Below are 21,702 nucleotides of genomic sequence, written 5' to 3'. Positions count from 1 at the left end.
GAATTACATCACAATGAAAAAAGAGCATGGAAGTAAAAGCTGTTATTTTGCTAACAACAAATCAATCAATCAATCCAGGGAAAGAGAGTCTGCCTGGGTAGCTCAGACCACACACACCCATCATTCCTTGGCCAGGGGATAGGGGGCACCCTGCCAGACAGCTCCCGCAAGACCTCTTACAACGAGGGAAGGTAATTTCCGGAAGGCCAGCCAAAGAACTGTTGTCAATAGACGAGGGAAGAAACACCGAGAGGGCAAGCACCGGCCTGGTGCTTGGAACACTAAAAGAGATGGCCCCAGGTTGTTTACTTACAATGTGAAACAGTGTAACCAAGTAGAAAAGAACGTTAGTTTCATTAGTCTGGCCACCAAGGAAACCTGTGTGGGGCAAGAGCTGGCGAGTGAGAAGTATATGTGGGCTGGTAAGGTGGGAGATTTATCTACAAGGTCCTTTTAAGGATTAGAATTGGTGAAATCTTGGGTTCTCTCACCTCAGGCCACCCATGGACACGTGACTGAAGCAGCAGCATCCACCAGGCTTCCCATTCTGGGGGGAGGATCAGGATGGAAAATGTCTAGAAGGCAGGGATTGTCCTGTTGGGGACTTTTCCCCAAGGTTGTTGCCTCAGAGAAAAGAAATATGGTCTCCCTGAATCCTTGAATTAACTCCTCTGGCCTCAAAAAAAAAAAAAAAAGAGAGAAGGCCGGGCGCTGTGGCTCATGCCTGCAATCCCAACACTTTGGGAGGCCAAGGTGGGCGGATCACCTGAGGTCAGGAGTTTGAGACCAGCCTGGCCAACATGGTGAAACCCTGTCTCTACTAAAAATACAAAAATTAGCTGGGTGTGGTGGCAGGCACCTGTCATCCCACCTATTCCAGAGGCTAAGGCAGGAGAATCTCTTGAACCTGGAAGGTGGAGGTTGCAGTGAGCCGAGATCACACCACTGCACTCCAGCCTGGGTGACAGGGCGAGACTCTGTCTCAGAAAAAGAAAAGAAAAATCAGAGACAAATGCTGGTCACGTGGCATGTCAGCTGTTGGCCCTCTCCGTGTGTTACTCGACACGTGCACGCACATCCCCGCCTCCGTCAAGGGCATTTAAACCCTCTTGTGGGTGCTCCCCGCAGCTGCCATCAGAGCCCTGCCCAAAGGGAGCTGGCCTTCCCACTTCGTGCTCCTGTGCTGGGGACCTGGGACACCAGCACCCTCCCCACCCCAGCCAGTGCTTTCCTCCTGGCCCATGGGGACGCTGGTGGCCAAGCTGCTCCTGCCCACCCTCAGCAGCCTGGCCTTCCTCCCCACTGTCAGCATCGCGGCCAAGAGGCGGTTCCACATGGAGGCCATGGTCTACCTCTTCACCCTGTTCTTCGTGGCGGTGAGTCTGGGGGCTGGGAGGAAGTCCCACACAGGCCCCATCCTGGAGGTAGAGGAGAGGCTCTCTGTCCACAGCGTTCTTGTATTGGGTGATGAGCAGAAGTGATTTGAAAATGAAACAGCAGGCCCAGGTGGGGTCTGGAGACTGAAGAGAGAGGACTAGGGGAGTCCCTTCCCCTATCTGGACCTCAGTTTTCCCATCTGTGCCAGGAAGTTGCTCTGGGATCACTGCCTGTGTGAGACCAAGCCTGGGGTGAAGCAGGGCCATTGAGTTGAGGATAAACCCTTCCAGCGTGCCCCTTTTCTCAGCTGCTAATCAAAGCCCCCACGGCTGCCCATGGGGCCACCTCCCCTCCCCACCTCTCTTCGAGCTCTACCCATAGGCCACGATGGAGCAGAGATGAGTGGGGCAAGCCAGGCCTGGGAAGGGGTCTGCAGGGTTCAGGGAGTGTGAAGGCCTGGGTGAGTGAGTCTGATTCCAGAATCCTGGAGCTGCTCTGGTTCAGGAGGGCCTGCTGGTCTCTCCCTCTTCTGGGGCCTACTTCTCTCTCTGTGGGTCCGTCTTTCTCTTTCTATTTATGTGTCTGGCTGGCTGACTGTCTCCGCTTGCTCTCTCTCTGGCTCTCTCCTGCTCTCTGTTTCCTGGTACCTGTCATTGGGTGATCTTATCCGGCTTTCAGTGGAGCGCCCAGAACCCCATCTGTCCTTGTTTCTGAGGTCGCTGTTTCTGGGACCCCTGTCTCCCCTGTCTTCTCTCTCTCTCTTTCTGGGTCTCTTTCACTCTGTGTTTCTCGTATTGGTTTTCTGTGTCTAGTTTTCTCTGTTTCTCTTTTTTTCCTTTCTCTCTCTGTCTGGTTCTCTTTTGATTTCTGGAACTCGATCCCCATGGAATTCACTCTCTCTAAAGCTCTTGGTCCCACCCTCCCTGGTTTTAGTCCCCTGACTCTCCATGTGTCTCTCTGGCTTTAGCTATCCACCTTCTCCAGCTTGTCTCTCTCTCTCTCTCTCTCTCTCTCTCTCTCTCTCTCCATCTATCTCTCTATCTACGCATCCATCTACCTGTGATCTATTCGTCTATTACCATCTCGCCATTCAGCCATCATTTATATGTCTCGGTACCCCCTGCCTTCTTGCCTCTGGGTCTTTCCGACTTTCTCCACTAACATGCCCTCACTCCTGGACTCCCACAAGTGGTGCCCCACCTCTTGCTCTCCCGAAGCCTTCCTTGCTCACCTTCCATCACACCCCTCCTTCACTGACAGCCCAATCCCCAGCATGACACCTGCTCTGGGGAGGCAAGCGTCCCACTAGCCTCCTTCTTGGGGCAGTGCTGGGCCCAACCTGTGAAAACTCCACCTCCTCTCCCCAGACAGCCTCCTTCTCCAGCAGCAGGGCCTCTATGGGCAAGAATGCCAAGTGCATGTGAGTGCACAGAGGGAGTCCTGAGCGGGTGAGGCCCGTGAGCTCACACGTGTGTTTGCAAGCATATATTCACATGTTATGCTTGTATCCTGAATTGGTCAAGTCCAATTTTGCCCGCAATGGCAGAAGCTGAGTGTGCACGTGTGGGCTGGGAGCGAGGCATTCCCTCCAGTGTGTGCCACTCCCAGGGGTGACAGTGGCCTGGGACAGGCTGGGTCCTTTGTGGAACCAGATGCCCTGGAGCTTCTGAGTCCACCTCGAGCGCCAGTACCCAGGGCAGAGGACTCGGCTAGGCGCTCTGTGCACAGTGTCTGATTCAGCCTTTTCACCTTCCCCACAAGCCTAGGATCTTGATTCCCATTTGGCAGATGAAGAAACCAAATCCCAGAGAGACAGAGTCACTTGTGTCACTGTGACCATCAAGCTCTCCAGAGCTCCTGACTCACCCAAATGCCACTGCATTCGCTCCTCTGGGACTCCAGCCTGGGCTAGGGCTAGGAAGCCTCTTGGGCAGATGAGAGACTGAAGCCCAGAGCAGAGCCAGGATTTCTCTGCAGGTCCCATGGCCTTAGCGCAGGGAGAAAAGCTGAGGTCTTGTTCTCAAGGCTCCTGTTAGACCTAGCCCAGCAAACCACAAGCACCCACCAGGCCACACCTCCCTGCCTGGGCCTAGGCTGGCCCCGCAGCTGCCTCTGCACTGGTCTCAGAGGCCCCACCCTGCCCCACCCAGAGTGGCAGGGGCAGCTGCCTCTTGTGACAAACGTCTTCTGAACTCAAAGCCACACTCAGTCCCTCCCAAAGTTCTGCCACCCGCATGGCGTCCCTTCCCTTCCAATCAGGCCCCTCCCGTGACAATCTCCATCTCTGTGCCGGACACCTTGCTATGGGTGCAAACCCCACGGAGACAGTGTGCTTGTCCCCACACAACAGAGGAGGCCCCCCCCCGACAGCCACTCACCTGAGCCCCCACTGGGAACATCTGCAAAGTCAGACTCCCCGAGCCTGAGCTCTGACCCCCCAGGCCCTCAGCCGCACCCACCCCACCAGTGCCCCGGCTGGGCCAGGTCTGCCCCCTGCACTGCAGGATGGGAGGAAGTGGCCAGGTGCCAAGCACTGCTCTGTTTCACCTCTTTGGGCAGGCAGTGCTGCTCTGAAGTTCACTTTCCCCATCTGTCGAATGGAGCTAAGTTCCCACCATTGGGAGGAGCCAAGGGCCTAGTGGCAGAGGCTCTGGGTCCCCAGGGTGAGCTGGCTGTCCTTTAGAATTCTCAGAGCCTGGCGTCCCCCTCCCTGAACACATGCAGCAAGCACTCTATGCTGGGAGCCGTCCATGCAACTGGGACCAGACAGAGCCATTCCTGCTCCTGGCAGGGCAAGGGCACAGGCCTTATCACAATCTCACAGTGAATGCCTTAATCACACATGACCATCTGTGCTACATTGAGGCACACAGACAGCAGGTGATGGGGCTGGGGTGGGGGATGGGAAGAAGCCAGGAGAACAGGAGAACAGCCTAGGGCCGGAGTCTTCCTCGCTCCTCTTTCCCACAGAGGTGTAAGCACCTTGATCAGGCCCCTCCTGAAGCTTCCCTGTCCCCAAGGTAAACAGTCATGTCCACCGCTGGTCACCCTCCTCTAGCCGCGTCTTTCCCAGTCTCACTTCAAGAAAGGTGCACCACACAGAGCTCGGCATAGTCTTCTGGATGAGCCTGACAAGAACAGAGAGAAGCAGGACCGCCGCCTCCCTCATTTTAGATGCTGGATCCCTATTAATGCCTCCTAGGTGCACCGTCACTTTAGGCCGTGTACAATTGCCATCAGTAGAAGCACTCCACTTTGACCCCGAATTGCCTGCCCCCCAGATCACCCAGGGCCCCCGCTCCCTCTGTGCTGTCCCTGTCGCCTCCAGACACGGGCTGCTTTCCAGCACGCCTGCTCCTCCCGCTGAGCTGGGCTGACCAAGAGTCCACCGTGCTGTTTCCCAAGCTTGTTTGTGCCAGTTGAACCTGTCAAAATAATTATGTCATGTAATTAAATATTACCTAAAATGATGAAATGCGAATGCAAAAGGAGAGAGAGTTGTTTTCCGTAGAAAAGTAGTTGACTGCTTTGAAAACACTCCCTATAAGCCTTTTGCCTTAAAAATTGCCATGAAAGTGGGTGTTGGGGAGGCGACGACGAGAGTATAGGGCAGAGATGGATGAGCCTAGGGGGCTGTGTTCAGCTTCTGCAAGGGGGTCTCAGAGATCTTCGTCCACGTTAAGGCAACAGAAACCAGGAGCTACAGCCCGGCTCTCAGTGTGGGCCCTGCCAGCCTCAGCAGTGCCACAGGGAATGTGTTCAAAATGCACATTTTCTACCCAACCCAGCCCTCCCTAATCAGCAACCCTAGGCAGGGCTCAGTAACCTGTGTCTAAACAAGGCCCCAGGCGTTCTGATGCCCACTCAAGCCTGAGAACGCTGCTGCAGTGTAGACCAGTCATCAGAGGGGTAATTTGTGCAAGAGAAGGCCCCAGGAGCCCCCAAAGAGCAAAGGAGCCCCCAGAGAGGCTCTGACCTCACATCCAAAGATTGGCGAGTGAACACGCAGCTGTGTGCTTCAAGGAAGCACAGATGCTGAAGGTCCGGGGAGAGCCGTGTAGGGTCCCTCCCGGAGACCGCCCCACCTAAGCGGGCTTCACCTGAGTGACCACTCAGTCTCCGCCCAGTCCTGCCAGTGCAGATGAGCGAATTCTGCTGAGGTGACATTGAGTGAACCCTTGGCACACCCCAGCCCCTAAACACCTCGCTGGCATGTGCCACTTAATCCCCACAGGACCCTCTGCGGGAGTGCTCGGCAGTACCCCCATTTTTCAGACGGGGAGACTGAGGCACACAGTCATTAAGTGACTCGCCAAAGTGACTTCTCACAGCCAGCAAGTGACCTGGCACTCTGGGGGCCGTGGCTCGGGGACCAGCTCTGGCCTCTTTGTGCTGTGACCACCTGTGGGTTTTCTGGCAGCTCCACCATGCCTGCAATGGACCCGGCTTGTCTGTGCTGTGCTTCATGCGTCACGACATCCTGGAGTATTTCAGTGTCTACGGGACAGCCCTGAGCATGTGGGTCTCGCTGATGGGTGAGTGGTCAACCCCTGCAGACAAGCCTTGCGGACAAGGACCGGCTCCCCAGTGTCCGCACACCCAGCCTCAAACCAGTCCCGCTGCAGCCCTCTATCCCCACTCACTCCCAGCCCCAGGAATGTCTTCCCTTGTCTGGGTTTCAGGGTTGTGCTTAATCTATGAAAAAGAATATGCACCTCTTAAATGCCCTGATGCCGATTTTTTATATCCTTTTAAAATGACTCATTTAGTAAAAGCTTGTTGTGACACATTTCAACAGCAGAGGCATACAAAGGAAAAAGTGAAAGGGCTCCCTCCCGTCACTCCTTCCCTGGGAGGACCGCTGTTCACTGCTCAGGGGGGTTGGCTTCCCAGACTGTCATACAAACATCCACACACACGGGTGATATCCAGCCTGGAAGACGGGACTGTTCATAAGCCCCCTTTCCCACCATGTTTTTTTCCACGTAACTGTTGTCTGTGGCAAGGTCCCCATGACCTGAGGCTCCTTGCCATCTAACCGGGCCTGTGAGGGGCTTCATTTCTTCTCTTGAATCTTAGTGTCTTTGTCCTGTGATCCTATGGGATAGATTCGATCCTATTCACTTTGCATAGTGATTATTGATTTTTAGCCACAGGGTCTCACTCTGTCACTCAGGCCAGAGTACAGTGGCACAAACACGGCTCACTGCAGCCTCGAACTCACAGCCTCAAGCCATCCTCCCACCTCAGCCTCCCAAGTAGCTGGGATGACAGGCATGCACCACGACACCCACCGAATTTTTTGTGGAGATGGGGGTCCCGCTATGTTGCCCAGGCTAGTCTTGAACTCCTGGTCTCAGACGATCCTCCTGCCTCTGCCTCCCAAAGCACTGGGATTGCAGACCTGAGCCACCACAACCAGCTGTGGTCTGTTTATTAAAATGAGGTGCTGGGAGCACAATCCAAGCTGCTGTGTCCATGGGGAAGCAGCAGGCTGCCTGTCCTCTCAAACTGGCTGGAATTCAGACCCCTCCATGACCAGGCTGGGCCTCAGGGTCTCGCTGGCTGAGGGGACACCGAGAGAGGGCATCTACAGGATGCCTCCTGGGGGCTGGGGGGTGGGGGGGTAGCCAGGAGGAGCAAGAGAGACCACTCACCTCCCCCTGTGTCTCCCTGGCCCCTCCAGCACTGGCCGACTTCGACGAACCCAAGAGGTCAACATTTGTGATGTTCGGCGTCCTGACCATTGCTGTGCGGATCTACCATGACCGATGGGGCTACGGGGTGTACTCGGGCCCCATCGGCACAGCCATCCTCATCATCGCGGCAAAGTGGGTGCGTACTGCGCGAGCCTCGATGAACGGGGACCCAGGAGGCCCGTCACCTCTCCCCTGTCTGACTCCTCCTGCCTCGGATCTTCATTTACCTCCTGCCCTCATAGGCAAATGGGTGGATGCAGGAATTCAGCAAAACCACGTAGAAAATAGCCATGAGGTGCTCCGGCTGTGTAGACTGTGTGTGACGCTTGTCTGTACTCACCAGCTCCAGACTGAGCCCAAGTTACCCAATGTCTCACCTCCACGCCCGTACCTGTAAAGCAGGTGTTGTCATTACAGCCCCCTGCCTGTCTCATGGGGTGGTTCAAAGACTCACTGAGATCAGGCACCTGAAGTCCTGGCATGGAGCCTGGCTTCCAATGTGCTCCGCACATAAGAGCTATTTGTTATCACTCTCATCACCGCTCTTACTACCAGCTGCTTTAGAGATGCAACATCAACTTGGAAAATGGCCTGGGGTAATCTGGGAAGACTTCCTGGAGGGAGTGAGCCTCGAGCTTGGTTCTAGCCAGGAGGGAGAGTGTGGTATGACAGTGAGGCAGCCTGGGCCAGACCTTCTAGCACAGACAGCCCCTTGCAGAGCAGCAAGGCCCTCACGTGGTCTTCAGTGCTCCCTGCTCTCTCCGTCCTACCAAGACCCTCCTGGCTCAGGGACCAAACCCCACTCAAACTCGCCCAAGCTAAAGAGGGATCTTAGGGAAAAATAGACCCGGGGCATCTCCTGGGACCCCAGAGCAGGAGGGAGCTCACCCTTGCAAGGGTCTCCCAGACCTGGGGAGCCAGCAGGCTTCAGCCTGAGCCTGCTCTCCAGGCCTGCAGCAGCCCAGGCACCGCCTGAACATCCCTGTGCTGCATTTCACCTCTTTGGAGTGGACCTGAAGTCTCAGGGTCAGTTTCAAGTGCCAAGAGAGGACCTGGCCTGGTCCAGCCCAGCCACACTGCCAGCCCCGGCCAGAGCCGCAGGACACCCAGCAAGACAGAGGGCAGCTCTCAGTGCAGGAGGGCCCACGGCTGTGGGGAGAGCGCTCGAGTTCTGGTGGGCAGCTTGCAAAGCCCGTCCCAATCCTCCCCACAGCCAAGGAGCATGGGACTGATTTGCCATTTGGCCTATGAAGGAACCAAAGCATGGAGGCCTCAGCAACTTAACAGGACGTCATGGCAGGGCAGTGGCGGGGCCAGAACCTGACTTTTTTTTTTTTTTTTTTGAGACGGAGTTTTGCTCTTGTCACCCAGGCTGGAGTGCAATGGCGCCATCTTGGCTCACTGCAACCTCCGCCTCCCGGGTTGAAGCGATTCTCCTGTCTCAGCCTCCCGAGTAGCTGGGATTATAGGCGCATGCCATCACGCCCAGGTAATTTTTATATTTTTAGTAGCGATGGGGTTTCACCACGTTGGCCCGGCTGGTCCTGAGCTCCTGACTTCAGGTAATCTGCCTGCCTCAGTCTCCCAAAGTGCTGGAATTACAGGCATGAGCCACCACGCCTGGCTGGACTTGACTTTTTGAGCAGGAGACAGAGGACCTGCTTTCTGTCTGCAACCTGAGGAAGCAGCACTAATCCTGGGCTGACCCAGGAGGCCCCTGGGAGTCACCTGGTGGGGAGAGAGGGAGCGCTGGGCATAAGTGGGCTGGACCAAGGTGGGTGGCAGGAAGGAGCGTGCTGGGGCCCTGGGTCCTGGCCACCCGCCTCTCGCCTCCTTCTGCCCCTGAAGGTTGCTCCTCCCGCTGGTCTTGGCCAGGTCTGAACTGGGCTGAACTGTAATTGCCCAGAAGAGAATTCACTGCTGTGTTTCCCACCAAGAGCCACGAGACTGCCAAGGCCCTCAGGCTGCAGATCCAGCCACAGGAGCCGAGGATGGGCTGCCCGCCTCCCCGCATCTGGGGCTCAAATTGTTGTCTTCTAGACCATTTAGTATGGAGTTTATTTAGGATTTTCAAGGGCAATTGTTTCCTGGAATGAGGGTGGATTTTTCTCCCTGAGCCTCGTCCCCTCTTGGGAGGGGTTGGGCAATGGCAGCCCGGGAGGAAGAAGGAGGGAGGGTTGGGTGATGGCGCCCTTTCAATAGTGCCAGGCCCACTGTGTGACCTGGGGCAGGCACCTCTCTTCTCCCTGGTGTTACTACTGCAGGGCTGGCCAGAGGTGGGCTGGCAGCCTTGACCACCGCACCCAGGGTCACACGGTCCAGCTGTCTTCAGGCCACTGCAGGACTGCAGGTGCTCAATTCCTTGTTGGCAATGGAATTCCAGAAAATGGAAAGCCGGGCATCAATTCATAATTCACTGGGTGGCAAAACCTGACCTGACCCAGCATAAGGCTCTTTGTGCTCTTTGCATAGGCCACTCAGCAATGGGTGCAGTTATGGGGTGCTGCCCCCACCCCCAGGGGCTTGTGCCACACGCTGTGTGTCTAACAGTTGATTCCACTGAAATCTATAGCCTCCTGAGTGTACCCCCACGGGTCTGGCCCCACTCCGAGGCCGCCATCACCCAACCCTCCCTCCTTCCTCCCCAACAAGGCTGTCGTTCCCCAGCCCCTCCCAAGAGGGGACCAGGCTCAGGGAGAAAAATCCACCCTCATTCCAGGAAACAACTGCCCTTGAAAATCCCAAATAGACTCCATGTGAAGTGGCCTAGAAAACACAAGGCCGGCTCCAGGGATGTGGCCCCACACTTCCCGCATCTTCCTCGGAATGCAAACCCCTCTGTAAGTGGAAACGCCCACGCGAGCCTTCCTAAGCACTGGGACCTGAGAAGCAGTGCTGGCCAAGTTTGTCTAATGAAGAGTGAGATAGGTCCTTTAACTAGGAAAGCAAACGATGCTTGTCCATGGCTCAGGGATCACCACAAGTGCCATCCCCATGGGCCACACTGGGCTGGCAGGTCCCAAGTACTCCAGTACTTTCCTTGGTAAGCAATCATGGAGTCTAGTCCCCCCAGAGCTCCCCTCCAGGGAGGAGGAGACATGCGAGGGTGGCGTTGTTACATCTCAAAGAGGCGGGAGGGCAGCGGGGTCTTTGTGGGGCACATGGCCCAGTGGCTTCCTTCCCAGCCATCCAGGCTGGGGTCTCTGCTGGGTCGCACCGTGAAGGGCCCTGTCCAGCAGAAGCCATCTGAGGCTGGGTGCGGCAGGAGGCTCCTGAGCCTCCTCTCCTGCCGGGAGAGGGCTGGGGTGAGCCTGTGCAGGGCCAGCTCTCGGGCTGGTTTGGGGAGGGGCGTTCCCCAGTGCTGTGACCTAAAAGCTTTGCTGTGGCCTCCTGTCCTCACAGCTACAGAAGATGAAGGAGAAGAAGGGCCTGTACCCAGACAAGAGCGTCTACACCCAGCAGATAGGCCCCGGCCTCTGCTTCGGGGCGCTGGCCCTGATGCTACGCTTCTTCTTTGAGGTACCAAGCCCAGCGGGGAGGTGTCCTGTGCCCCAGAGCCCACTCGGCATGGCTCTGCTCAGCTGGGATACCAGGGCTGTGCCCACGCTGGGGGGACTCTGACAGCCCCAGGCCAAAGTCTGGTATTAGTCCCTGCTCACTAGCCCCTCCCAGGGCTATGTCGGGGGCAATGCCGTCCCCAGCACCACCAGCACCATGGCCTGTGTGGACCTGGAGGTCACAGAGACCAAAGCTGGCTGCCTACAGACAGCTGGCATCTCAGACGGCAGCACAGCCTGGGAGACGCCTGGGGCAGGTGCCCAACACCTGGAGGAGGGAGGGAGGGAGGGGAGGAGACAGGGAAGGAAGGAGGGAGAAAGTGGAGGAGGGAGGGAGGAACAGGGGAAGAGGGATAAGGAGAGAAAAGAGGGGGAGATGGAGGGAGGGAGGGTAGGAGGGAGAGAAGGATGGAGGAAGAGAAGGACAGCAGAGAGAGGGGATGGGGAAGAAGGAAGGAGTGCAGCCTGGAGGATGGCACAGGCCCTCACTGCTCTGGGTTTAGGTGGAGAGAAAAACCACTGTGAGCGCGACCGTGGGGGAGGCTTCCTGCAGGTGTCCCAGTGCCCTGGCAGAGGCGGGGGCCTGAAGGGGCTCTGCTGGGTCTTGGAGAGGGAGGAGCCTCGGGGAGGGGGCTGAGGCCCCAGACTGACCGCTTGCCCCCCGCAGGACTGGGACTACACTTATGTCCACAGCTTCTACCACTGTGCCCTGGCTATGTCCTTTGTTCTGCTGCTGCCCAAGGTCAACAAGAAGGCTGGATCCCCGGGGACCCCGGCCAAGCTGGACTGCTCCACCCTGTGCTGTGCTTGTGTCTGATGCTGCGCCCAGCCCGGCTCTGAGCCCCTGCCCTCCCCAGCTCACACTTGGCCAGAGTCCCAGACAGTTTCTCCTCCTGCAGCTCCTGCTGTCCTTCCCTGCCCTGGAGCATCCAGGAGAAACATCTCTTCCACACCCTGAGAGGTTCCCGGGGGTCTGTGAAGGGCCCACCATGCTGCACTAAATGCTTCTTAAGAAACTGCTTGCCGGGCGCGGTGGCTCACGCCTGTAATCCCAGCACTTTGGGAGGCCGAGGCGGGCGGATCACGAGGTCAGGAGATCGAGACCATCCTGGCTAACACGGTGAAACCCCGTCTCTACTAAAAATACAAAAAATTAGCCGGGCGTGGTAGCGGGCGCCTGTAGTCCCAGCTACTCGGGAGGCTGAGGCAGGAGAATGGCGTGAACCCGGGAGGCGGAGCTTGCAGTGAGCCGAGATCGCGCCACTGCACTCCAGCCTGGGCGACAGAGCGAGACTCCGTCTCAAAAAAAAAAAAAAAAAAAAAAAAAAAAAAAAAAAAAAAAAAAAAAAAAAAAGAAACTGCTTATTCCCTTGTGACGGGGTGCGCAGGACCAAGCTGGAAAGATAAGAATGTTCTCCTCCCAGGCCTTGTCACAACCCACTGGCATGTCTGGTGGAGCCCTAGGTCTGGCGTCTGCCCACCCCACTGCTGGCCAGGAGCCCAGGAGTCCCAGCCGGGTGCCAGCCATGACAGGGGGGGCTTCCATGTCTTCAGTTTTCTCCTGGAAACTGCTATCACCATCTCTGTCCTGTGTCCTCAGGCTCCGAGCGACCCCATTTAGGAAGCTGGGGCCAGCGGGGCCAGCTGGATCCCTGGCCCAGCCCACTCTGGCCCCACCCCTCCCGCTGGGTCCCTGAATCAAGCAGTTTTCATTATAACCAATAAGAAGTGCCTCAATGTATCAACCTCACTGCACCCCAGACACTTTATATACGTCCTAACCCTTAAAACAAGACTCAGCCAAGCGTCATCCCTCCCACCCCAGCCGCTTGTTCAGGGCCCAGAGCGGGGGCTGCCCCTCTAGAGTGGTTGGTGTGGGAGGTGTGAGCTCCGCTTCTGGCCCTCAGCACCCGCATGCTGGCTTTTAGCCCTGCACGCCGTCCCCAGCGTGGAAAGGTGATGGGTTTGGGTGCAGTGCCCGTGAGCAGAGGCTGCAGGGCCCAAATGCCGGGCTCCCTCGGCTGGGCCTCCCTGCTGCGTGATGGGCGGTGCTGTCTGTGAAGGACTGCGGGGGTGGTGGCAGCAGGTCCCAGACATCACCTCACAACCTGCGTCCCCCGGCACCCAGCGATTCCAGGCCCATCTGTCAGGCAGGAAGTTACCTACACCTGTCTGGGGCCTGTTTGTGTTTCCAGACGGTGCCACCGGCTTGGGAGTGGTTGCCCAGGTCCACTGCCCATGGAAAGAGGGCGGTTATTTGTCCTAGAGTCACCCCCTGTTGCCTCCAGGGCTGGGAGATAGCTGGCTCCGCTCCTGGGCTGGGGACAGGGTGGCCCTCTAGGCCCCTCCCCCATACGGTCGCTCTGACACCCTGGCCTGGTGGCCCCATCTGCTGCCCTCCCTGATGGCCTGGCATCCCCCAAGTCTCAGGGGCCCTGGCCTGCCCCTTCCTCACCTGGCGTCCCTCCTGGCCTTGAAGGGCAGGCATAGAGGACAGCCAAGCTCAGCCCTTTCCTGGCCCCGGAGTCTTTGAATGCAGAGCAGCCCAAGGCTGGCGCCCTCTCCCCAGCTCTCAGGGTATGAGCAAGCCAAGGCTCCAGCATCCAGGGCTCCAAGCCCATCCACCCAGCAGGGGAACTGGAACATGTCCTACGTGTCCCCATCATAGGGCTGAAGACACCCAACTTCTAAGCCCTGACCTGGGGTTGAGGGACAGGCATGGCACTGCCTCTGTACGCTTCCAGTCCACCTGAGGAGGTGCACACATGCCTGCACACACACCACACATACACACATGCACGTGCACACATGTACACACTCCATACACCACACACCACACATACACACATGTGCACACATGTACGCACTCCATACACCACACATACACGCATGTGCACACATGCACGCACTCCACACACCACACGTACACACATGTGCACACTGCATACACCACACACACTACACATACACGCAAGTGCACCCATGTATGCACTCCATACATACACACACCACACATGCACGTGCACACATGTACGCACTCCATACACCACACACACCTACACACACGTGCACACATGTACACACTGCATACACCACACACCACACATACACACATGTGCACACATGTATGCACTCCATACACCATAAACACACCACACATACATGCACGTGCACACATGTATACATTCCATACACCACACACACCACACATACGTACACATGCATGCACACACATACACACTCCATAAACCACACATACACACATGCACGTGCACACATATAAACACTCCATACACCACACATACACACATGCACGTGCACACATATACACACTCCATACACCACACATACATGCACATGCATGCATGTACACACTCCATACATCACATACACACACGTGCACATATATACACACTCCATACACCACACACCACACATACACACATGCACATGCACACACGTACACGCTCCATAGACCACACATACACATGTGCACACATATACACACTCCATACACCACACACACCACACACACGTGCACAAATGTACACACTCCATACACCACACATACACACACATATGTGCACACATATGCACACTCCATACACCACACACACACCACACATACACGTGCACACATGTACACATGCCATACACCACACATACACACGTGCACATATATACACACTCCATACACCACACATACACACACGCATGTGCACACACATACACCCTCCATAAACTACACATACACACCACACATACACACACGCACGTGCACACATGTACACACTTCATACACCACACACCCACACACGCTACATGCACTGTGAAAAGACGGGGTGTCCTTGAATCAGCGTCTTCCCCTCTGGCCCCGTGTGGAGACCACATAAGCCTCACACCAGGCTTTGTAGGGGACAGGCTCTGGGGACCCCGTAGCTGGAGAGCCCTGGACATCCCTGCAGAAGCAGGCACCTGCACGGTGGCCGCCCCACCTCCCTCCCCACCACAGCAAGCAGCCAGCACCCCCCTTTCCCGCTTCGCAGCAGCAGCACATGGAAAGTTGGAGGCGGCAGGCCACTCCGAGCAGGGCGGCGACGAGGGCCCTGCCAAGCGCGAAGGGCCACACTGGCAGGCTCCTCACTGCAGCGATTTACGAAGGCCGCCCAGAGCCTGGCCAAGTCTGTAAGTCACGGACAATTAGGAGGCGCGCTCCAGCCCTCAGTCCCTGCCCACCACTGCAGGATCCCGGGCTCCAGGCCCAGCCTCGACCCTCCCGACAGGGGCAGGCCCCTCCCCTTCACAGGCGACCCCTCGGGGGCCCCAGGACACAGTCCTGAGCCCACTTTGCCAATAAGGACTCCGAGGGCCAGGGACGTCAGACAGCTCGGGACAGTGGCTGCTGGGTGGGAGACGGTGCCAGGGTCTTGCCAGTCCCCCCAGCTGTGTCTCCCTCCCATGGCCTCAGGCACCACGGCCCACTTTGACATCTTGGGGGCTCTGACCAGGGAGCCAGGTAGGGAGCACCCGGGAGGGGCCACCCTGCTCCCTTGACACCCAGAATGGTCACCCCAACGCTGCAAGTTAACAAGAAAGAAACATTATGGCCTGCAGATGCAAACACCTCTGAATCCCTATGTCTGCCAGCCCCGAGGGCGTCGTGTCCCTGGAATCTGAGAAAGGGCCTCCAAGGCCGCCCCAGCCAGAACTCCCTCTCCCCAGCCCTGATCGGGAGACCTGGGGACTGTGAGTTCAGTTCTTGGAAAAGTAGTTCTAGATGTCACTAGGAGTCCCCAGCTAGCACTGGCCAAGAGGACTTGCTTTAGCAGTGGGGATGCTCTGGGCTGCCCAACACGCCTGGTGCCTGGGCATCTGCAACGTAGCTGGTACAACCCCAAACCTGGATCTTTAAATGTTATCCTCATTTTAAATAATTTAAGTTCGAATAGTCACATGGGTCCGGCCAGGTGCGGAGGTTCACGCCTGTAATCCAAGCACTTTGGGAGGCCGAGGTGCGCGGATCACGAGGTCAGGAGATCAAGACCATCCTGGCTAACACGGTGAAACCCCGTCTCTACTAAAAATACCAAAAAAAAAGTCACATGGGTGGCGTTGCCGATGAAATACAGGACGCCCAGTTGCGTTTCAATTTCAGATCTATAGCAGACGATCATGCAGCATAAGCGTGCCCCGGGAGCTATTGGAGAGACACTTGCGTGAGACACGCCTATACCAAAAAATGATTCATCGTGTATCTGAAATCGAGTTTATCCCAGAGTGTTCTGTTTGATCAGGCAGCCCTGTCCATGTGGCTGGTGGTTACTGCATAGGACGGTGCATCTGCTGGAAACAAAAGGGATGGGACAGCTCTGAGGACTCTTGGTGACTGAATGACCATGTGCTCCCACAGCTGGATCATTTCCCACTCTGGGGGGATGGGTGGGCACACACCCAGCAACAGCCTCCCCGAGCCTGGGAGCAGAAGCAGCCTGGGCCCCACCCATCCCAGTGCCAGGGTCAGCCACGCCCCAGCCCCACACTCCGGCCCCGACCTGCCCACGCCTGTGCCCCGTGCTGGGGCACACACCACACCCCCTCCTGGCACACATAGCAGGAGCCCAGCTCAGGGGAGAGTGCTGCACACCTCAGGCAGCACCAACGCGGAGACGTATTCTAAACACTCAACAGCAATGTAAACAAAACAGGCTATTGTAGCAGCCACCTCCAGCTCCCGGCAGCTCGTGTGAGGCTGGCATGGCACGGGGCAGTGCCCCCTGCCAGGCCGTCCTCTGTTTGCACAAGCGGAGGCGTTTTTGTCTAAGGGCAGTCTGTGTGCTGTGGCCTTTGTCGTGTCTGCTACTGAAATTTCCTGTCTCTGTTATTCTCTTCTCCAGTAAGACGATCTGAAACCCAAAACTTTTATTGCCCCTTTTAAAAAGGCTTTACAGCTCCCCATCTACTTCATAGACTGTCCCGCTCTCGGGGCTGGGATTGTAGTTAGGGCAAGCACGCTGGACGCCGGGAAAGGAATTCACCCTGGTCTCAGCCGCAGGGGCTTGGCTAGGAGGATGTGGAGGAGGGGTGGGCAAGGGATGTTTCTGCAGAGTCGGCAGGAAGCCCCGGGGTGTAAATCTCTTTGCCGGTTAGCTTGTTACCAAAGCAAGCTGCCTAAGGTGGTTAGAGGCAGCAGAGAGTGCTTGCAGCCCTGGGGCCCCCTGCCAGGCCACCTCTCCATGGCCAGGTGACCTTGGGGCCATTTCTGCCCATCTCTGCATCCAGATTCCCCACCTGTGAATGGGAACAGCAGCCTCACCCCGCCGACCACGCGGGCCCCTTTGAGTAAATTAAGTCAGAGGCTGGCTGGCTGGAAAGGTGTCAGGGAGTTTAAAAGGCAGAAGAGGCAGGAAGCAGATGGGGCAGGTGGGGGTCAGGACCCCAGCTCTCCCTCTATGAGCTCAGGCAAGTTCCCTGCATTCTCTTGGCCTTGGTTTCCCCTTTTATAATAGTGCCTGCCTCATATGGATGTTGTTAAGATTAAATGACACATTTATTATAAAGCATCCAGCACAGTATTTTTTAAAATACTTCTTTTAATGGCAATCATTATTATTTTCATTATTATTGGTCAAGGGCAAAACAATGAATCTCTAGAATTTTTTTTTTTTTTTTTTTGAGACTGAGTCTCACTCTGTTGCCCAGGCTGGAGTGCAGTGGCGCAGTCTCGGCTCCACCACAACCTCTGCCTCCCAGGTTCAAGTGATTCTCCTGCCTCAGCCTCTCAAGTAGGTGGGACTACAGGTGTGCGCCACCATGCCCGGCTAATTTTTGTATTTTTAGTAAAGACGGGGTTTCACTATGTTGGCTGGTCTCGAACTCCTGATCTCATGATCCACCAGCCTCAGCCTCCCAAAGTGCTGGGATTACAGGTGTGAGCCACCGTGCCCAACCAAATCTCTAGAATTTAAGAGGGGTCTCTATCCTTACCATCAGGGAGTATTCACTGCAGTTAAGGAACCAAATACCCACATTTGCCAAGGAAACAAATTGCTTCATACCAAGTGCCCAAGAATTATGGATGAAGAAAGTAAGGAAGGAAGGCTGCCTGGAAGAGGCAGGTTGGAGACTGAAGCTAGAAAAGCAAAGTGGACTGAACCGTGCGAGCCTGCAGATGCCCGACCCTCGGGCCGTGTCTATGATGGCTTTGTCATTCCATGGTTCTGAGTCTGGCCATGCCCCTGTGCCCTGCACCTCCCCAGACCTGCTGCACCCTTCCCACTGGGGCAGCAAGAAAGCCACCACTGCCCACGTGGAGAGAACGGTGCCAGCAGGAGACTGTGTGTCCATTGCCGGCTTCTGTCCCAGGACAGGGAGACAGACTGAGTCTGGGGTGTGTCTGTCCTGTGTTCATGGTCACCTGTGGCCAAAGGTGGAGGAAAAATGTGGCTTTGCTGGGCTTTTCTCCTGCCCTCCCTCAAGGGGGAGGATTTGTGGCCGACTGAGCCCATGAGCAGGACTTGGGAGGCAGACACAGGCTGGCCTCGTGGCGTGGCCTTGCGTGTGAAAGTACTGACGGGTGACCCTTCCCCTCCAACCATCTCGGGTGAATCGTGCCCTGTGTCATATCACCAGCTCTGCCCTGGTCTTGCTGTGCCGCCCCAACGCTTGACCTGAAACAGCAGGAAACAGGGGGCTCGGTCCCAGGGCCCAGTTTAAACGTCGCCCCTTCCTGAGTGTCTCCATGTGCCGCACAGCTTTCCCAACCCCAAGGAGTCACACAAGTCCAGCAGACCTGGGCTCTGCCTTCCGATGGTGCACAGACTGATGGGGGAGGCAGACCCAGAACTGAGCCATCGCGGGGGATTGGGGGAGTGAGGCGCTGGGTCAGAAAGGCTGCCCAGTGCGGGCGCTGCTGGGAGACCCGAAGGAGAAGGGGCCAGTGGCCCAGGGAGAGGGAGAAAGATCTAACAGGGTTTGTCTGGGAACTGCACAAGGTGGGCGTCAGTGGGCAGGTTCTAAGGATGTGAGGGTTTTAGGTGGGGGAGCCTGACAGTGGGTCTGGCTTCCATGAAGAGGTGGGCAGTGGCAGAAAGAGACCAGGAAGGCTGCTGCCCATCGGGAGGGAGCCAAGTCCACCAGGCAGGAGTGTGGGGAGGAGGGAGGCGCTGGGAGAGCGAAGGTGGCATCAGCAGGGCTCACTGGGGGCCCACCAGTCCCCCAGCTGGTTTTCCAGTGGTGCAAAGCCCAGTCATCGGTGACTGGTGGTGCCTGGGACGTGTGTCCCTCCAGCAGTTCTCAGCCATGGCCCCCAGCCTGCGGGGAGCTGCCCTGGTCTGGGAGGGGTATTGAGGCAAATTGTTGCCAGCAATCATAGCTCAAAGCTTTTGGACAGCTGGCTTGTGTCTTAAAGCCACACAGAGTCAAGGTCACCCCCAGTTACCTAGTCATTCGTTCCCCTGCAGCCTTTGTACGACGGAGGTGGCGGGAGAGCCGTCGCTCAGGGCCCAGCCTGCATCACACAGGCCAAGACCATGCCCAGCAGGCCAGGGGCGGATGTGGTCCCATGAAGCCTGGAAGCTCGACCCAGGCTGGGAGTGTCTAAATCAGCATCGCGTTCCCGCGCTCCGCCTGGCGGGCCGTAGGCAGGCACTTAACAAATATTTGTCAAATGAATGGATGAGTGGATTTTTCCATATCTGTCTTGGCAAGGGCAGGTTTATGCCTCCCTGACGAGTCCACATGCAAAAAACAGTTAGTCAGTGACCACAGAAGACAGCCTTGACCCCGCTGACCTGCACACCGGCCGCAGGCGGGAGCAGGCCATGAGCCAGAAAGGAACTGGCTCTGGAGTACCCACCCTGGGGCTGTGTGTCCTTGGGTAAGGCCCTTCAGTCCCCAAAACTTCCAGCAGTGACACCTGCTTATCCTGCCGGGGCCATCGGACCCAGCCCCACCCACCCCCCCACTGAGAACCTGGCCTGGGTTCAGTCCCGCCCTGGGCCAGGAAGGCAGCAGAGGTGCACCGGCCCCTCAGGCTCATCGGCAAACTGCACCATGTTGTCAAGCTGCCATCCTGTCTACGGTGATAGGGACATGACCCCACGCCCCCCACCCGCACACACTGTGGAGAAGCAAAAGAGACAAAAGCTGCATCCTGCACACAGGGGAACCCCTTTAGCCAGGGGGCCCAGGCTCACCCCAGGAGGAGCCCAGAGGAGCCAGCAGACGGCCATGACCACCCCAAGCTTAGGGCCAGTGGCCGGGCCTGGCCAGGGCTTCTGCCCAATCACTCCCTTCCCTTCCGAGAAGCTGGGTCCCTTGGGCCTTCATTGGGTTTTGTTTTCCTAACAGCTAGGCTAACGGGAGCCTGCTGGCCTAGAGCCCCGGCTGGAGCCAGGCTATCGAGTAGCTGCGGCCACATCTGGAAGACGTTTGGGCAGAGTTCGGCCCCCGCACCACAGCAGGCTGATAAGCGTCTGCTGCTGGCTTGGAGCTCCGGGAAGCTGCAGCCTCAGACCACCGGCCCTGGCTGCCTGAGCCTTCCAGAGGTAGGAGAGGAGGGGCAGAGGAAACTGGGGCGTTCTCTGGCCCCTGGCCTGCCAGCCCATTCCAGAAACCACAATGGCAGAACCAAAGATGTCAGCACAGAAGGCAGCCTAAGAGGCCCCAGAGCTCCACTTGTCCCTCCTGCAGACACCTGCTCTTCTATGCTGGGTCCCATGGTGCCTTCGCCCTACCAGTTGTCGAGATCACTCCCGTGACGGTCTTTAGGCCTGGACCAGGCTCTCGCACCTGGGACCACTTCCTCATCACCATGCATCTTAGTCATCTTGGCTTCCCCATCTCACCAGCTGGAAAACCAAGGATCCACGGAGTGTCTGCATGGGTGAGACCTCACACTGACAGAGCCAGGACACGGCCCCAAGTTTGGGGTCTCTGAGTCCTGTGTGCTGTACACTGCACTCACGGCCTCCTTTGTCCTGCCCTGTTCTGCCACTGGATGGCCCAACAGAGGTCTTCACTGTGGACCAGCGAAGCCCCTAGGCACCGCCTCCTGAGCTGTGAGCTCGCAGGGATCTTGGCTGTTGGGCTCATCACAGTGCAGTGGGACAGAATTCTAGGCAGCCAAGTGCCTGACTGATCCCACAGACAGCACCCAGCAAGTAACAAGTACATGAATCAGAAAACAAGCCACGAAGGAGGGGGAGGAGGTTGAGTCTCCCATCATTGGCTCTCGCAGTGCCTGCCAGACACTGTTAGAAGTGCTTTATGTGCTTGAGCCCAGGAGTTCGAGACCAGCCTGGGTAATATAAGGAGACCCTGTCTCTACAAAAATAATAATAATTATTATTATTTTAAAATATGGGCCAGGCGCAGTGGCTCACGCCTGTAATCTCAGCACATTGGGAGGCTGAGGCAGGTAGATCACCTGAGGTCAGGAGTTCGAGACCAGCCTCGCCAACATGGTGACACCCCGTCTCTACTAAAAATACAAAAATTAGCGGAGCGTGGTGGCGCATCCTGCAGTCCCAGCTACTAGGGAGGCTGAGGCAGGAGAATCGCTTGTACCCAGAAGGTGGAGGTTGCAGTGAGCTGAGATCACACCATTGCACTCCAACCTGGGCAACAAGAGCAAAACTCCATCTCAAAAATTAATTAATTAATTAAAAAATTAAGAAGTGCTTTCTGGATAGCGGCTGTTAGGTCTCTCAACTGCCCTGTGAGACAGGTACCGGACTGCCCTCCTAATGTTCATGATGATGTCTTCTTCCTTACTTTGCAGATAAGGGCGATTTCAAACTATTTTATCGCCATCATCATTATTGTTCTAACTGGTACTGAGGTCGGTCAGAAAACACAGTCTCTGAGACGGCAAGCCTTCACAGCGGCTGTCTCTCTCTATGGCCCAGCATGTGGTCAGCTTCCATGACGGCCCCGTGTAGTCCTGCCCTTGGCCTTCTGTGTGAGTCCGTCAAGTCAAGCTTCTTGACGATGCTGCTTAAATCTGTCATTACCAAGTATTTGCCTACTTGCTATCAACTCCTGAGAGAGGGGTGTAAAAATCTCCCACT

The 21,702-nt window shown here is 56.7% G+C and overlaps 1 protein-coding gene across 1 annotated transcript, besides 3 other annotated features; it reads left to right on the top strand.

The window, feature by feature from the left end:
* Positions 1 to 1,126: 1,126 nt before the first annotated feature.
* On the top strand, positions 1,127 to 11,500 carry MYMK (myomaker, myoblast fusion factor). Its single transcript, NM_001080483.3, has 5 exons — positions 1,127 to 1,376; positions 5,798 to 5,912; positions 7,064 to 7,212; positions 10,479 to 10,595; positions 11,301 to 11,500. Exons 1-5 carry the CDS (start codon positions 1,242 to 1,244, stop codon positions 11,448 to 11,450), a joined length of 666 nt encoding a protein of 221 aa, NP_001073952.1. The 5' UTR covers positions 1,127 to 1,241; the 3' UTR covers positions 11,451 to 11,500.
* Positions 5,674 to 6,174: an enhancer, noted in NCBI's record as "H3K4me1 hESC enhancer chr9:136385034-136385534 (GRCh37/hg19 assembly coordinates)". NCBI's record gives its function as "activates a minimal SCP1, AML or CMV promoter by ChIP-STARR-seq in naive H9 embryonic stem cells {active_cell/tissue: H9 hESC(naive)}" and the evidence as "EXISTENCE:reporter gene assay evidence [ECO:0000049][PMID:30033119]".
* Positions 12,762 to 13,448: an enhancer, noted in NCBI's record as "H3K4me1 hESC enhancer chr9:136377760-136378446 (GRCh37/hg19 assembly coordinates)". NCBI's record gives its function as "activates a minimal SCP1, AML or CMV promoter by ChIP-STARR-seq in naive H9 embryonic stem cells {active_cell/tissue: H9 hESC(naive)}" and the evidence as "EXISTENCE:reporter gene assay evidence [ECO:0000049][PMID:30033119]".
* Positions 16,385 to 17,104: an enhancer, noted in NCBI's record as "H3K27ac-H3K4me1 hESC enhancer chr9:136374104-136374823 (GRCh37/hg19 assembly coordinates)". NCBI's record gives its function as "activates a minimal SCP1, AML or CMV promoter by ChIP-STARR-seq in primed H9 embryonic stem cells {active_cell/tissue: H9 hESC(primed)}" and the evidence as "EXISTENCE:reporter gene assay evidence [ECO:0000049][PMID:30033119]".

The sequence above is a fragment of the Homo sapiens genome, chromosome 9 (genome assembly GCF_000001405.40).
Source record: "Homo sapiens chromosome 9, GRCh38.p14 Primary Assembly".
NCBI classification, from domain to species: Eukaryota; Metazoa; Chordata; class Mammalia; order Primates; family Hominidae; genus Homo; species Homo sapiens.
This window is presented reverse-complemented; position numbering and strand designations above follow the sequence as displayed.

Coding starts and splice junctions, on each gene's coding strand:
- MYMK (NM_001080483.3), top strand. CDS start 1,242: ATGGGGACGCTGGTGGCCAAGCTGCTCCTGCCCACCCTCAGCAGCCTG. Junction 1,377..5,797: donor TCACCCTGTTCTTCGTGGCG/GTGAGTCTGGGG, acceptor GTTTTCTGGCAG/CTCCACCATGCCTGCAATGG. Junction 5,913..7,063: donor CATGTGGGTCTCGCTGATGG/GTGAGTGGTCAA, acceptor TGGCCCCTCCAG/CACTGGCCGACTTCGACGAA.